The sequence below is a fragment of the Homo sapiens genome, chromosome 3 (genome assembly GCF_000001405.40).
Source record: "Homo sapiens chromosome 3, GRCh38.p14 Primary Assembly".
NCBI lineage: Eukaryota > Metazoa > Chordata > Mammalia > Primates > Hominidae > Homo > Homo sapiens.
Genome location: NC_000003.12, coordinates 71,321,046 through 71,337,276, shown reverse-complemented (window position 1 = coordinate 71,337,276; position 16,231 = coordinate 71,321,046). Strand labels below are relative to the sequence as shown.

The following is a 16,231-nucleotide window of genomic DNA, read 5'->3' as shown; positions in this document are numbered from 1 at the left end:
GTATTTGTATATATTTACATAAAAATTGTTTTAAGGCAGGGAACCTTGCCACCCAAATCAAGAAATTGAACTTAGCCACCTTGAAGTTTCTCCTGTGTCCTGTTCCACTCACAGCCCTTTCCAAAAACAACTCATGTTTTTACTTTTATCATAATCATTTCCATTTGTTAATTATTTGATCACCTACATGTGCATCCTTAGACACCACAGTTTAATATTGTCCACTTTTTAAATGTTTGATATGTCTTTTAAGTTTCTTAATCTGAAGATTTCCTGTCTATGCCTTTCTTTTCTTTGTACTTTACCACCTTTCAGAGATCCCTGGCCCCCTGAGCTGTAGGGTTCCCCAGAGCCTGGAAGTTGCTGATTGCATCCTCAGTTCAACATGTCCCTCTGCCTTCTCTATCTCCTGCACATTGGCAAGCTGGATCCAGAGGCTCATGTTTGATCCCTTCAGCACAACTCTAGGTGGTGTTGTGTTCTTTCATTTGTGAGGGATATAATATCTTATTGTCTTCCTTTTTGTGATATTGACGGTCATTAATCCTTACTGCCTAGATCCATTAATTCACTGGGAGATGCAACACGGTGATATTCTAATTCTACTTACTAGCTGGGATGCTTTTGTAATTTTATTCTTCATCTACTCTTTAGTTACCCAGTGGTACTGTTCATTTAGGTAATACAGGATAAATGTCGAATTCTTTCCCTCTATTTACTAAGTTTCAAAATAATGAGTTGACTCGCTCTCCTTTTCTGAAAGTAACCATTAAATTTTCATGTTTTTATCGAACACATGGACACAGGGAGGGGAACCTCACACACTGGGGCCTATCGGGGGGTGGAGGGCAAGGGGAGGGAGAGCATTAGGACAAATACCTAATGCATGTGGGGCTTAAAATCTAGATGTCTGGTTGATAGGTGCAGCAAACCACCATGGCACACGTATACCTGTGTAACCTGCACATTCTGCACATGTATCCCAGAACTTACAGTAAAATAAAAATAAAATAAACTAAAAATTTTTTATGTTTTTATAAACTATAAATTTAAACATGTTAGTAGATTTCAATTTATTGCATTTTTTAAACTTTTATTGAAGATCAAATTGTCTGTCTTTCATGAGTGTAACTTCTTTGCATTCGCTCCTCTGTCCTTCTGATATGACCCTACGGTCTTTCATAGCTTCTTTGCTCCCTGCTATGACAGAATGTTTCAGACTCACCTTGTACCTTTTTTTTTTTTTTTTTTTTTTTTTTTTTTTTTGAGATGGAGTTTCGCTGTTATTGCCCAGGCTGGAGTGCAATGGCACGATCTTGGTCCACTGCAACCTCCGCCTCCGCCTCCACCCCCGCCTGAGTCTCCTACCTTAGCCTCCTGAGTAGCTGGAATTACAGGTGCACGCCAACAAGTCCAGCTAATTTTTGTATTATTTGTAGAGACGGGGTTTCACCACGTTGGCCAAGCTGGTCTCAAACTCCTGAACTCAGGTGATCCACCTGCCTCGGCCTCCCAAAGTGCTAAGATTATAAGCGTGAGCCACCACGCCTGGCCACCTTGTACATTTCTTACCTGAGAATTGAAATCAACCATTTATCTAGAAACCCATTTCTTTTAGTGGGAATTTGTGTTTCAAGACAATTATCTTAGCGCTAACAGTGCTCCTTGTTGTGAGTGTGTCCAGGCCTCATGAGTTCATCCTGATATTTCCATTTCATAATCAGGATTACAGGGCTTTTATTTAACCTCCTATTTATTACATCTTTATCTCCTTTCTTCCATGCTGACAGTTTTGGTTCTCGAGAACAAAGGGGATGGTAGCATTAGAATATCCCATAATTGCCCATCTGCTTATTTCTCTACCTTACACACAACAGTCTTAGAATAACAATACTAAATACTTCCACTACCAGTTATGATTAGCAAGAAGAGTAAACATTTTATTACATATGCTATCCCTAGTCTAACTCCATTATTATGTTTTTTTTTTTGAAGACAGGATATTGCTGTGTTGCCCAGGCTGGAGCGCCGTGGCACGATTATAGCTCACTGTAATTTCGAACTCCTGGGCTCAAGTGATCCTCCCACCTCAGCCTCTGTTGTAGCTGGGACTACAGGTATGTGCCACCATGCCTGGCTAATGATTTTTAATTTTTAATTTAATTTAATTTAATTTTTTTGTAGAGGTGGGGTCTCACTAGGTTTCCCAGGCTGATCTTGAACTCCTGGCCCCAAGTGATCCTCCCACCTTGGCTGCCCAAAGTGCTAGGATTACAAGTGTGAGCCACTCACTCTTTGCATTATTTTTTGATAGTTGTATTAGATTTGCATTTTCAGGACATTTAGCCATTTATATGATACTCTCCCCCTTTTAACTCTAACCCTATTGTACTTTTTAGTAATACAGGTATGTTCAGTGCTCAGTACCAGTTCTTCAGTCCTTATGTCAATGTCTGTAGTCATTTTGTCTAAACTTCATTTCTGTTAGATTTTTTGGAAAAGGCTCATGGGTACTGTATTCCCTGAATTCTTGAATTTTCGTAACAGTTTGCTGTGTTCTTTATACTTAAACCACAATCTTTACTGAATTAAAAATGTTGCCTCACATTTTTTCTTTGCATATCTTAAATATGTTACTCCTTTTTCTTCTGGCATAATAAGTCTTAAGTCCAGTAATTTTATTAGATTATATCTTAGTGTCGGTCATTTGGAGCAAATATGCTTCAGTGTCCAGGGTCCTTTTGCAATATGTAGTTTCAGAATATTTTTTTAATTTCAGGAATGTTTCTTTGAATTATAGTTTTAGGTATTTGGACAATTTTCTTCCTTTGCTTTCCTCTCCAGGGATTCCTACTTTTTTTTCTTTCTTCTTTTAGTTTTGAGCTTTGTCACCCAGGCTGGAGTACAGTAGCATGATCTTGGCTCGCTGCAACCTGTGCCTCCCAGGTTCAAACGATTCTCATGCCTCAGCCTCCTGAGTAGCTGGGACTACAGGCATGTGCCACCACGCCTGGCTAATTTTTGTCTTTTTAGTAGAGACAGAATTTCGCCATGTTGACCAGGCTGGTCTTGAACTCCTGGGCTCAAGCAGTCCTCCCACCTTGGCCTCACAAAGTGGTGGGATAACAGGCGTGAGCCACCACACCTGACCCAGGGATTCCTATTTTCTATATGTTGGATCTCCTTTACCTGTCTTCAGTATTCGATACTTTCCCTTAAATCCTTCTCTCTCTCTTAATTTCTGTTTGATTTTGTTTTTCATTTTAACCTTCTAGTTTTTTTTAAAGCGTTATTTGTTGTATCTATTTGCTATCTGTCCCTCTAGTGTATTTTCTTATTTCTAGAATGATTTTTCTTTTTTTCAAGTTTATTCTTTCTTCCCCCATTTCTCAGCCAGTCGAATTCTTATTTATGTAATTCTTTTTTGTTTATTTTCTTTTGTTTTGTTTTTTTAAGATAGGGTCTCACTCTGTCATTCAGGCTGAAGTGCAGTGGTGCCATTTCAGCTCACTGCAACCTGTGCCCCCAGGCTCAAGCGATCCTCCCACCTCAGCCTCCTAAATAGCTGGGATCACAGGCACGCACCACCACACCCAGCTATTTCTTTGTATTTTTTTGTGGGGACAGCGTCTCGCCATCTTGCCCTGGCTGGCTTCAAACTCGTGAGTGCAAGTGATCCTCCCACCTCGGCCTCCCAAAGTGCTGGGATTACAGGTGTGAGCCACTGTACGTGGCTTGATTTATGTAATTCTTTCAGGCCGTATATCTTATTCTTAATGTCTTTTAGCTCATTTTGAAGTAATAGGTTACAGACAAGTAATGACATGTCTGATAAATGCTTTCATTTTGTGTAAGATGTTATTCTGTTCCTTTTTTTTTATCACTTTGTATAGAATTTTACCTCAAAATTTTTATATTGCTCATTTTTACGTGAAAGTGATTTTTCTGAACTTTTAGCAGGGTGGCTGTATTAAGAGAGATCTTCTAATTCCTTAGAGCTCTCTCTCTTTTGGGTTACTTTCTACTACTTGGCTACTGGCATGCTTTCTAAAATATCTTTACTGTATTCTTCTCTACTTTGGGGAGGCCTTTCTCTTATCTTTCCTCTTGGTTTTCTCTGTCCTTTTTGATTTTGATTCTGTTGCCAGGAGTTTTTCCTCAGTGTGGAGTCCTATGCTAGAATGGAGACCTCACAGCCCAGTTTTGAGAGTTCATAAGCACTAGACTCCTCCCAGCTCTGCAGACTTTTCTTAATACGGGCCCTTTGCTCTGACCCTTTGTTGGAACGGGAAATACCCCACAGCCCTAAGTTCAGCTGCTATTTTAAACTTGGCTCACCATACTGTCCATTTAGTACTTATTGGCAATACTGGGGTTCTTTTTCTCAGTTCTTTCCGTTGCTGCATTGCCGCCCTCTGCTTCTTCCCACCTAGGTGCTACTATTCTGTAGGACTTGAGGCTAGTCTTAGCTTTTCCACATCTGTTGTATTACAGTGTTCAAAGTGACACTGGTCACTTGATTTTATTTTTTACTTTTTTGAGATAGAGTCTTGCCCTGTTGCCCAGGCTGGAGTGCAGTGGCATGATCTCAGCACACTGCAACCTCCACCTCCCAGGTTCAAGTGATTCCCCTGCCTCAGCCTCCCGAGTAGCTGTGATTAATTACAGGCACGTGCCACCATGCCTGGCCAATTTTTATATTTTTAGTCAAGACAGAGTTTCACTATTTTGGCCAGGCTAGTCTCAAACTCCTGACCTCAAGTGATCCACCCACCTCAGCCTCCTAAAGTGCTGGTGTGTCCGGAATTGGTGGGTTCTTGGTCTCACTGACTTCAAGAATGAAGCCGCGGACCCTCGCTGTGAGTGTTACAGTTCTTCAAGGCGGCATGTCCGGAGTTTCTTCTTTCTGATGTTCGGATGTGTTTGGAGTTTCTTCCTTCTGGTGGGTTCGTGGTCTCGCTGGCTCAGGCGTGAAGCTGCAGACCTTCGCGGTGAGCGTTACAGCTCTTAAGGCGGCGCGTCTGGAGTTGTTCATTCCTCCCGGTGGGTTCGTAGTCTCGCTGGCTTCAGGAGTGAAGCTGCGGTGAGTGTTACAGCTCATAAAGGCAGTGTGGACCCAAAGAGTGAGCAATAGCAAGATTTATTGCAAACAGCGAAAGAACAAAGCTTCCACAGTATGGAAGGGGACCCAAGCGGGTTGCCACTGCTGGCTCGGGCAGCCTGCTTTTTATTTCTCTATGTGGCCCCACCCACATCCTGCTGATTGGTCCATTTTACAAAGAGCCAGTTGGTCTGTTTTACAGAGAGCTGATTGGTCCATGTTGACAGGGTGCTGATTGGTGCATTTACAATCCCTGAACTAGACACAAAAGTTCTCCACCTCCCCACTAGATTAGCTAGATACAGAGTGTTGATTGGTGTATTTACAAACCCTGAGCTAGACACAGGGTGCTGATTGGTGTGTTGACAAACCTTGAGGTAGACACAGAGTACTGATTGGCGTATTTACAATCCCTTAGCTAGACATAAAGGTTCTCCAAGTCTCCACCAGATTAACTAGATGCAGAGTGCCGATTGGTCCAGTCACAAACCCTGAGCTAGACACAGGGTGCTGATTGGTGTATTTACAAACCTTGAGCTAGATACAGAGTGCTGATTGGTGTATTTACAATCCCTTAGCTAGACGTGAAGATTCTCCAAGTCCCCACTAGACTCAGGAGCCCAGTTGGCTTCACCCAGTGGATCCCGCACCGGGGCCGCAGGTGGAGCTGCGTGCCAGTCCCGCGCCGTGCGCCCGCACTCCTCAGCCCTTGGGCGGTCGATGGGACTGGGTGCCGTGGAGCAGGGAGCGGCGCTTGTCGGGGAGGCTTGGGCTGCGCAGGAGCCCATGGCGGGGGGTGGGGAGGGGGGAGGCTCAGGCATGGAAGGCTGCAGGTCCTAAGCCCTGCCCCGCGGGGAGGCAGCTAAGGCCCAGGGAGAAATTGAGCACAGCAGCTGCTGGCCCAGGTGCTAAGCCCCTCACTGCCCCAGGCTTGCGGGCCAGCTGGCCACTCCAAGTGCGGGGCCGCCGAGCCCACTCACCCCAGAACTCGCGCTGGCCCACAAGCACCCTGCGCAGCCCCAGTTCCCGCCCACACCTCTCTCTCCACACCTCCCCACAAGCTGAGGGAGCCGTCTCCGGCCTTGGCTAGCCCAGAAAGGGCCTCCCACAGTGCAGCGGCGGGCTGAAGGGCCCCTCAAGCGCGGCCAGAGTGGGCACCAAGGCCGAGGAGGCACCCAGAGCAAGCGAGGGCTGCGAGGGCTGCCAGCACGCTGTCACCTCTCACTGGGATTACAGGTGGGAGCCACTGTGCCTGGCCTGATTTTCTTATATGTTTGTTTGCTTGTGGATTTTTGGTTTTGCTCTCTAGTTGCTCTGTATGTTTTTATGTGGGGACTCAGCAAGATTCAAAAACTGTGCTTCTGCAAACTCTGCCTCTCTCTTTTGTAATATAAGTTCTACCTGAGGCTTTATCAAGCACATTTTTCCATGTCACTAAATGTTGCCACATAACCTTATTTTTAATGGCTGCATAATATTCCACTACTGCATGAATGTAACATAATTTATTAAGGCAATCTACTATTATTGGGCACTCATGTCTTAATTGCACTTAATGCAAATTTCTTTTAGTTATAAATTTGTCCACAGATTCTTTACCAGTTTTTCTCCCTTCTGTAGGTTTTGTGGATTAAAGTAAGCACAGCAAAAATAGGGCTGTTTGCTGAACCGCTGACTTCCACTTCTTTATTTTTGTTCATTCCTATGGTCAATATCGATGCATTTCAAACTCAAATGTGTGGACTGTCATCTTCTCAAAGGATGTTTTTTTCTGACATGACGCTTTAATTATATGAAAAGTTTTATAAAAACATAGAAGTGACTTACAATATTTTATATGTAATGAATTGTTTATATTGATAAGATTAAAATCACAAGAAAGTAGAAATGCTCTTAAAAATGTGGGATCATTGTGCCTTAGAGTTAAGAAAACCTTTGCCCAATGAAGAAAAAGTAGAAAGCAAAGGAGAATGTTAAAGTACATATCACACAGCATTTTATGCTGGTTTTATGTCAGCCTGAGAAGTGATATTGTGTGCTTCAGCTTTGAAGCATAGCAGGAGGAAGAGTTATACATGTTATTACATGTATAAGTTCATGTTTTTTCTTTTCTTTTCTTTCTGCTTTTCTTTTGAAACAGGTTCTCCCTGTGTTGCCTAGGCTAGTCTCAAACTCCTAGGCTCAAGAGATCTTCCCACCCTGCAGCCTTCTGAGTAGCTGGGATTACAGGCACAAGCCACTATGTCTGGCATGTTATTTTCTTTGAAAGGATTGTGTCTTGTCAAATGAACACTCGCATGTTAATAAAAATCATCTTATTCTGATATCAAATATTAACATTGTTCTTGATTGTAGATACTGTTTTGGAACATGTATGCTGCGAATTCTTCCAGCGGTAATGTTATCAAAATTACACCTAGACATTTCCCTGTAACTCTTCTCAGTGCTGTACTATAGAAAGTATTAGGCCTCAAACCATGATCAAATTCTGATAGTTGTTCTTCTCATCTCACCCACCTGCAAATGTGTTTATTGCTGGCTGTTTTCTCCCAGTGCTTTAGGGGAAGATCCTGTCTTTTTTTTTTTTTTTCAACATTTTGCTCTCTGATGCCCTGGGACAACCCTGTGTTGTGAGATTTAAGAGGTCTAGACTTTGTGGCCGGGCGCGGTGGCTTATGCCTGTAATCCCAGCACTTTGGGAGGCTGAGACGGGTGATCACGAGGTAGGAGATCAAGACCATCCTAGCTAACACAGTGAAACCCCGTCTCTACTAAAAATACAAAAAAATTAGCCAGCCTGGTGGCGGGTGCCTGTAGTCCCAGCTACTCGGAAGGCTGAGGCAGGAGAATGGTGTGAACCCAGGAGGCGGAGCTTGCAGTGAGCAGAGATCACGACACTGCACTCCAGCCTGTGCGACAGAGGGAGACTCCCTCTCAAAAAAAAGAAAAAGAAAAAAAAAGAGGTCTAGACTTTGTGAAAGGCTATCTCAGTGGGTGACGGGATCATTCATTCCACCTATGTCAGCCATTGCACCCAAGCAGCTTGATCAGGTCACAGTCCAGCTGGATCAAAGGGCACCAGGCGTGAGCTCAGGGCTGGGCAACCAAGCCAGTCACAGGTGGAGGATATTGAGGACCAACTGAGCCAATTTGGCCATTCTGAAACTGTCAGTTTTTTTTTTTTTGTTTTTTTTTTTTTTTAGCGAGATGGAGTTTCGCTCTTGTTGCCCGGGCTGGAGTGCAATGGCACGATCTCGGCTCACCACAACCTTCGCCTCCTGGGTTCAAGCAGTTCTCCTGCCTCAGCCTCCCAAGTAGCTAGGATTACAGGCATGCACCACCACGTCGGCTAATTTTGTATTTTTAGTAGAAACGGGGTTTCTCCATGTTGGTCAGGCTGGTCTTGAACTCCCAACCTCCGGTGATCCAACTGCCTCAGCCTCCTAAAGTGCTGGGATTACAGGCATGAGCCACTGCGCCCAGCCAACTGTCAGATTCTTTTAGCCAATACCGTAGCTACCCTGGTCAGCTGTAGAAAGGGTTATGCATTTCTTCACTATCTTGTGTCTGGTTGCATTGAAAGCAAGTCTCTGCAAAATTCTGCCAAATGGGCAGAAATGTATCAAGAAGGAAGCCCAGAAAAGTCACACATTGTGTTCCTCTGAGGCATGAAGTCCCTCTTTGCTGCCCTCACTGACTCCAGCAGGCATCTCATATGAAAGGTGTGGTAAGGAGCAAGCAATGATATTTTGATGGCAGGATCAACCCACTTTCTAGTCCAAAGATGACAGGTTCCCTCATTGTACCAAATAAGATCTATGTGTGGAGCACAGTTCTTCAGCTGGGAGCCTCCTGATTTGCCAAATTCTTCTTTTTTTTAATTTTTAAATTTTTATTTTTTATTTCTTTGGTAGAAACGGGGTTTTACCATGTTGGCCAAGCTGGTCTTGAACTCCTGGGCTTGGCCATCTGCCCGCCTCAGCCTCCCAAAGTGCCGAGATTACAGGCATGAGTGCCCAGCCTGTTTGCCAAATTCTTCTGCCTCCTTTAATGTAAACATGTTTACACCCAGTCTTTTCAGCTTATCACGTATCTTGAACACTACTAATTTCACCAATGAAAAACAATTTCAGATCTCTCTACTGCTGATGAATAAACTTTCTGGTGTAGTTTTAAATGACAATATTTGAGGTGCTTGTGTGGCCTACTGTCATGTGTAGAGAGGTTGGGGGAATACCCTGGGAGAACATTACTGATTTAGAAAAATGTTGCCACTTCTGGGTAATAAAATTACAGACATTTATATGCGCCTTATTTTGAAAGAATGTGTTATAATAAGCAAAAAGAGTGAGTTAGATTAGAGATACTTTGAGATTGAGATATAATGTATCAGTAAACATACAGGTTTGCACATACACACTTATATGTGATAGAATTGAACTACCCTTTACAGCAGGTCATTTGCTCTGCTTATAACTTTGAGAAATTGGGCTGGGCACAGTGGCTCACACCTGTAAACCTAGCACTTTGGGAGGCTGAGGCGGGCAGATCATGAGGTCAGGAGATCAAGACCATCCTGGCTAACACGGTGAAACCCCATCTCTACTAAAAATACAAAAAATTAGCTGGGCGTGGTGGCAGGCGCCTGTAGTCCCAGCTACTCGGGAGGCTAAGGCAGGAGAATGGCGTGAACCCGGGAGGCGGAGCTTGCAGTGAGCTGAGATCGCACCACTGCACTCCAGCCTGGGTGACAGAGGGAGACTCCGTCTAAAAAAAAAAAAAAAAAAAATTAGCTGGACATGGTGGTGATGCACACCTATAATCCCAGCTACTCAGGAGGCTGAGGCACAATAATCTCTTCATTGAGTACAGTGAGTCTGCCTCATTCCCCTCTTTGGACTAACAACAAGGCTGTCACCTCCTCCCTCCCAGCCATTTCCCTCATTGATCCATCAAAGTCAGCCTCAAATGATTCCCTTCACAAGCATTTCTGAAGGTATCTTTTCTCTTCTCACATCTGGTTCTGTCTTTACTTGCTTTTGTTCAGTATGGCCCTGTGGTCTCAATCTTAGGGAGACCGTGTAACATGGTGGTTAAGACCTTGGATTCTAGAATGGGCAGTGCAGTTCAACTTTAAGCTTTGCCATGTATTAGCTATATGAATTGGGACTAGTTACCTTGCTGGGCCTTAGTTTCCTCATCTGTTCAATGGAGATAAGAAGAGTATAATGCTGTGCCTGGTACACATTTCTCTTTCTAATGACTTCCTCCAACTATTTCTCTTATAGTTTGGATTATTGTCTCATTCTGCAGTAAACCAGTTCATCCGGAGTTCATCTTGACCTTTCTGTACCATAAAGTCTGTCATAGTCCATCTCTCCCAACTCTGACACCCTTTCTTTTCTTCCCTTTCCCCAACTCCTGGTGGGATTTAGGAGTTTGCTTTAAAAAAATATTTACCCACCTAATACATCCAACCAGTAAGCATGATGAGAAAGCTGTTCTCAAGTAGATCATTTAGACGAGGAAGATTTTATTGCATTCTGCTTATGTAAACTGAAATCCTGTGCCAAAGTACCTAGCTCCAAACTCTCCCTTCCTTCCTTCTATTTTTTCACAACACATCTCTTGAAGAATCTATTGCAGATTTTGTTCTGAGAGCCAGGATGCCATCAGCTCTGCCATCACAGAATAAGCATGAAATTCAAGTTGTCACCAGGAGTTTGTTGTTGTTATTATTGTTGTTGTTGTTTTGGCCATCATTGGGAGCTTTATTACGATGATTATTGGACTGTTATTTTTCATCCGAGCCTCTTTTATGATTTTCTTTGGGATTTCTTGCCCATTGAGTCCCCATTGGGTATGTACAGGACAACTCTTCCAAATGCAGACTGTTTTTTATTAGCAATGCCTTTATTTGCACTGCAGCACTGATCTTAAGGTGATCTGGTGACCAAAGATTACATTTCATAGTGCTTTGAAGAAGAGGGTAATGGCATAGTCCAGATATGCTTGGCCTCTTCCTGCTAATGCGTGCCAGATTCTTTAATATTTCATGTAAAAAATGGTATAACGAAAAGAGAAATTTGGTGGCTTTTTTTTTCTACTTGAAAGCAAGAAAGAGAGTAATATGCACGCCAAATAAAGTATTTTTCTGTTTTGAATACACTGAGGGCTATATGGATGCTGTCAGCAGAATGTAAATCATTACATTTTTATCACTAAGTGTTAAAGTCCACTGTATATTTGGTATACAAAGAATACATTCATCAGGCGTTCTCTTCTCCATTCAAATCCCACAGATGTTTCATACAAAATAATGCCATTTTGAGCCAGATATGGTGACACATGCCCTATAGTCCTAGCTTCTTGTGGGGAGGAGGTGGGAAGATTGCTTTGGCAGTTCAGTGCTGCAGTGTGCTATGAGCATGCCTGTGAATAGCCACTGCACTTCAGCCTGGACAACATAGTGAGACCCACCTCTAAAATAGTGATAATAATAATAATAATAATAATAATAATAATACATTTGTAGGAGATTTCTTTATAGGCCCTTAATATGAAGGCTGCTTCAAGGGCCATGCTGGTATTGTTGGTCAAACTTGCTTAGACTGAAAGCAGTGGTTAGAAGTATCTTAGGGACTTCAGAGGACTTCTTTCTTACTTTTAATCCATGTTTTATGGTTTTCAGGTTCATAAACCATAGAAGGATGGCATACTTTAGGGCATGAGACAAGCTGGCAATCTCAGACCTGTTGTGTTTGGTCTGTAAAATACATTAAAATAATTTGATCCGTTGCCAGCATTTAAATATCAAGGGATTGGCTGGGCACAGTGGCTCACGCCTGTAATCCCAGCACTTTGGGAGGCTGAGGCGGGCAAATCACCTGAGGCCAGGAGTTCGAGACCCGCCTGGCCAACATGGTGAAACCCCATTTCTACTAAAAATACAAAAATTATCCGGGTGTGGTGGTTTATGCCTGTAATCCCAGCTACTTGGGAGACTGAGGTGGGAGAATCTCTTGAACCCGGGAGGTGGAGGTTGCAGTGAGCTGAGATGGAGCCATTGCACTCCAGCCTGGATGACACAGCAAGACAACATCTCAAAAAAAAAAAAAAAAATCAAGGGATTATACCTACAGCAACTCTGGATTTCTGGCCATTGCGATAGATGTAGAGCAGCGCTGGGTCCACATTCCCAAATGGCAGCTGGGTGGGAGCTGAGTCATGGCTGGGGTGCCCCCTTAGCTGGGGCATGGCCTAGGGCTTGCCTTTCTCCTCTGGGCTGTTTTGCTCATTAGCATGGCCCTTTGTTCCAACAGACTTTAGAGTTCGCAACCGCTTGGTTTATTTTTTTTAATTTGTTTTGAATTTACACTAATGTATTTATTTATTTATTTATTTGTTTTTATTATACTTTAAGTTCTAGTGTACATGTGTACAACATGCAGGTTTGTTACATATGTATACATGTGCCATGTTGGTGTGCTGCACCCATTAACTTGTCATTTACATTAGGTATATCTCCTAATGCTATCCCTCCCCACTCCCCCCACCCCACGACAGGCCTCGGTGTGTGATGTTCCCCACCCTGTGTCCAAGTGTTCTCATTGTTCATTTCCCACCTATGAGTGAGAACATGCAGCATTTGGTTTTCTGTCCTTGCGATAATTTGTTCAGAATGATGATTTCCACCTTCATCCGTGTCCCTACAAGGGACATGAACTCATCCTTTTTTATGGCTGCATAGTATTCCATGATGTGTATGTGCCACATTTTCTTAATCCAGTCTATCATTGATGGGCATTTGGGTTGGTTCCAAGTCTTTGCTATTGTGAATAGTGCCTCAGTAAACATACGTGTGCATGTGTCTTTATAGCAGCATGATTTATAATCCTTTGGGCAACCCCTTACTTTAATACTGCAAAGGAAAAACAGAACCAAATTGGTATTCAGAACTAAACAACATGTGTGTGTCTTTAATGGCTAAATTTAAGACAAAAGGAAATATATGTATCTAATTTTGGGAATCTATATTTTCTGAATAATATAATCTCAGGAACATAGAGTATGAATTATAAATATATAATTTTATATATTTAATGTATATTTAAATGATAGATATGATTATAAATTATAGAATTTCTCCTCAGAATCTTCAAAGTGGAGGGCCACATGGTAGTATCTAATTCTAATTCAGCCCTGTCCTTTTACTAATTAGGAAATTGAAGCCCAGCAAGTCCAGTGATTTGTTCCAGGCCATGCAATTTATATAACTGGTAGTGCTGGGACAGGATCCCTGTGTCCTGCTGGTGAAGCAAGGCAGTTAGAGTCATTAATGTGCAGTGTGGAATAGATGGAAATAGAACAAAATGTTTAAAGTGCATGTCTTTGCTATTGTTCCCATAGGTTGAAGTTTTACGGAAATATTTACTTTGTCAAGATTGCATAAGTACTCGTGAAAACTATTCTGTGTCCCACTCTAGGCCTTGGCTTTTTAGAATCAGTCTAATATTTCTTCCAGCCTGCGGGGCCTTTTTACGAGGTGCTCCGTAGAATGCAGCAGGCAATGCATCTAAAACTGAACTAGTTACACACTCTTCCCCTCCCAAACCTGCTCACTTTCCCGTGTGCTTGGTCTTGGTCCTTATTGCCCTGGGACAGAAGTTATCATATTATATTCTTTTTTTCTTCTCTTATTGCTCATATTCTTGGTTTTGTAGGTCTCATTGATTCTGTCTTAGAAACGTCTACCAAAATGAGCCTTTCCTCTCCACCCTCCCAGTTTCTGTGTTGGGATGGTCCTCCCTGTCTTTTAATAGGGTCATGGCAGTAGACTGTTCCTTATACTACTTCATTCTAACTTAACCTCAGTCTCAGTTCTTTGTCATCTCCACTGGTTTTCAACCCTGACTATATATTGGTCATTTTGGGAGTTTAAAATGTACCAAGGCCGAGGCGGGCGGATCATGAGGTCAGGAGTTCGAGACCAGCCTGACCAACATGATGAAACCCCATCTCTACTAAAAATACAAAAATTAGCCAGACGTGGTGGTGCATGTCTGTAGTCCCAGCTACTCAGGAGGCTGAGGCAAGAGAATTGCTTGAACTTGGGAGGTGGAGGTTGCAATGAGCCAAGATAACGCCACTGCACTCCAGCCAGGGTAACAGAGCAAGACTCCATCTCAAAAAAAAAAAAAAAAGTACCGAGCTTGGGCCCTGTGCCCAGAAAGGGATTTAATGCATTTGGGGCAAGGGCTCTGGCATCAGCATTTTTAGAAGCTTTCCAGAGTTCTCATGTCCATCTCCAGAGGTAACCGCCACTGCTGTACTTTGTCAGCATAGTTGGTTTTCTACAAAACACATCCAGTGGTCACTCTACTGCATCCGCATCTCTGTTTTCCACAGTAAGTCCAGACTTCTAGTTTGGCTTGGGAGACCTTCATAGTTGGATCCTAATTTCTCCAGACTTCTCTGTGGCCACTGCTCCCCCATATAATTCCATGCCGGTCACCAAGAATAGTTTACCCCTCCTGGAGCTCCGAATGCCCCTTGATGACAGTGCACCTTTGCATGTGTGCCTCGCTCCACCTGGCTCCTGTTTTCTGTCCTATAAAAATGAAGCCTACCATCCTTCAAAGGTACTGGCTCCATGAGAAAACCTCTTCTGCTGCCAGTTTGTCACCTATCACAGTAGGTTAAAATGTACCTACACACTGTACTTTTTTCTCTAGACCTGAGCTGTCCCATAGAACTTTCTGCAGTGATGAAAATGTTCTATATCTACACTATCCACTATGATAGCTGATTGCCACATGTGGCTTTTGACACTGGAAATATGACTGGTGCAATTGAGGAACTGAATTTTTAGTTATATTTAGTTTTAATTTATTTAAACTTAAAAGCCACATGTGGCTAATGACTACTGTTTTTCATAGCCCAGATGTTGATATGAGCTTCTTGAGGGCAGCGGCCTAGTTTTATTCATGTTTTTATTCCATATAGTACAGAATGGTGTTCCCTAAAGTCTGCTAAACAACGGAATGAATGATGTAAGAGTTGTATCAAAAATTTTCATCTTTTGTAGTTTATACACCTCTCTACACATATACAAATAAAAATCCTGCTTATGAGTATAACACATATTCTCACATCTGACACACAGATCTCATTACCCCATTTTCCCGATGAAGAAAGTGAAGATCAGCAAAGTTAAGTGACGCAGGCAACTTTATAATCATGAAAAATAACATTGAGGCTGGGCACAGTGGCTCACGCCTGTAATCCCAGCACTTTGGGAGGCCGAGGCAGGCGGATCACAGGTCAGGAGATCAAGACCATCCTGGCTAACATGATGAAACCTTGTCTACTAAAAATACAAAAAAAATTAGCCAGGTGTGGTGGTGCACACTTGTAGTCCCAGCTACTTGGGAGGCTGAGGCAGGAGAGTTACTTGAACCTGGGAGGCAGAGGTTGCAGTGAGAGGAGATCGCACCACTGCACTCCGGCCTGGGCAACAGAGTGAGTCTCCATCTCAAAAAAAAAAAAGAAAAAAGAAAGAAAAATAAGATTGAATTATGCCTGCCAGTTACTTTAATTACATTGTGAGCACGAAATTTCTTTTGATATTCTAGTTGTGGGTCTCTGAAAACCTGAACCCCAGAGAAAATGTCTATAGTCTTATGTGTTATATATAGCCCATGTGGCCATCTCACGTTTCCAGAAGTTGGCTTTTATTCCATGGTCACTTAAATGACACCATTTCTTGAGTCTGGGGCTATGGCTGGCTCATACCAGATTTCTTGTCTTCATTACCAAATCTGCCAAGGGTTAGAGGTCACTGGTTTGTCCCATGACAACTCTTTCTTCCACACTGTTTTGAAGGCCAACTGCGAAGTTTGATTTTGTCAAAGTGGGAAGCGTGATATCATTAAAGCTGAAGTTAAGCAGACCACAGCCCAAGAGAGGGAATGGCACTAAGGCTCATCTGAGACCTTAATGCAAAATCGTCTTACTATCTGAAAGCGTTTTTTTTCCTTTTTTTTTTTTTTTTTGGTACAGTCTAAATTAGGACACTGTTAGTAGCGGGAGGGTAATTAGGGGTGCATAGTGAATCTCAATTCTTATTTA

The 16,231-nt window shown here is 42.8% G+C and overlaps 1 protein-coding gene across 10 annotated transcripts in view; it reads left to right on the top strand.

The window, feature by feature from the left end:
• Window positions 1-16,231, top strand: part of FOXP1 (forkhead box P1) — a 629,271-nt gene that overhangs the window by 246,702 nt on the left and 366,338 nt on the right. The gene's annotated exons all lie outside the window — the stretch shown is intronic.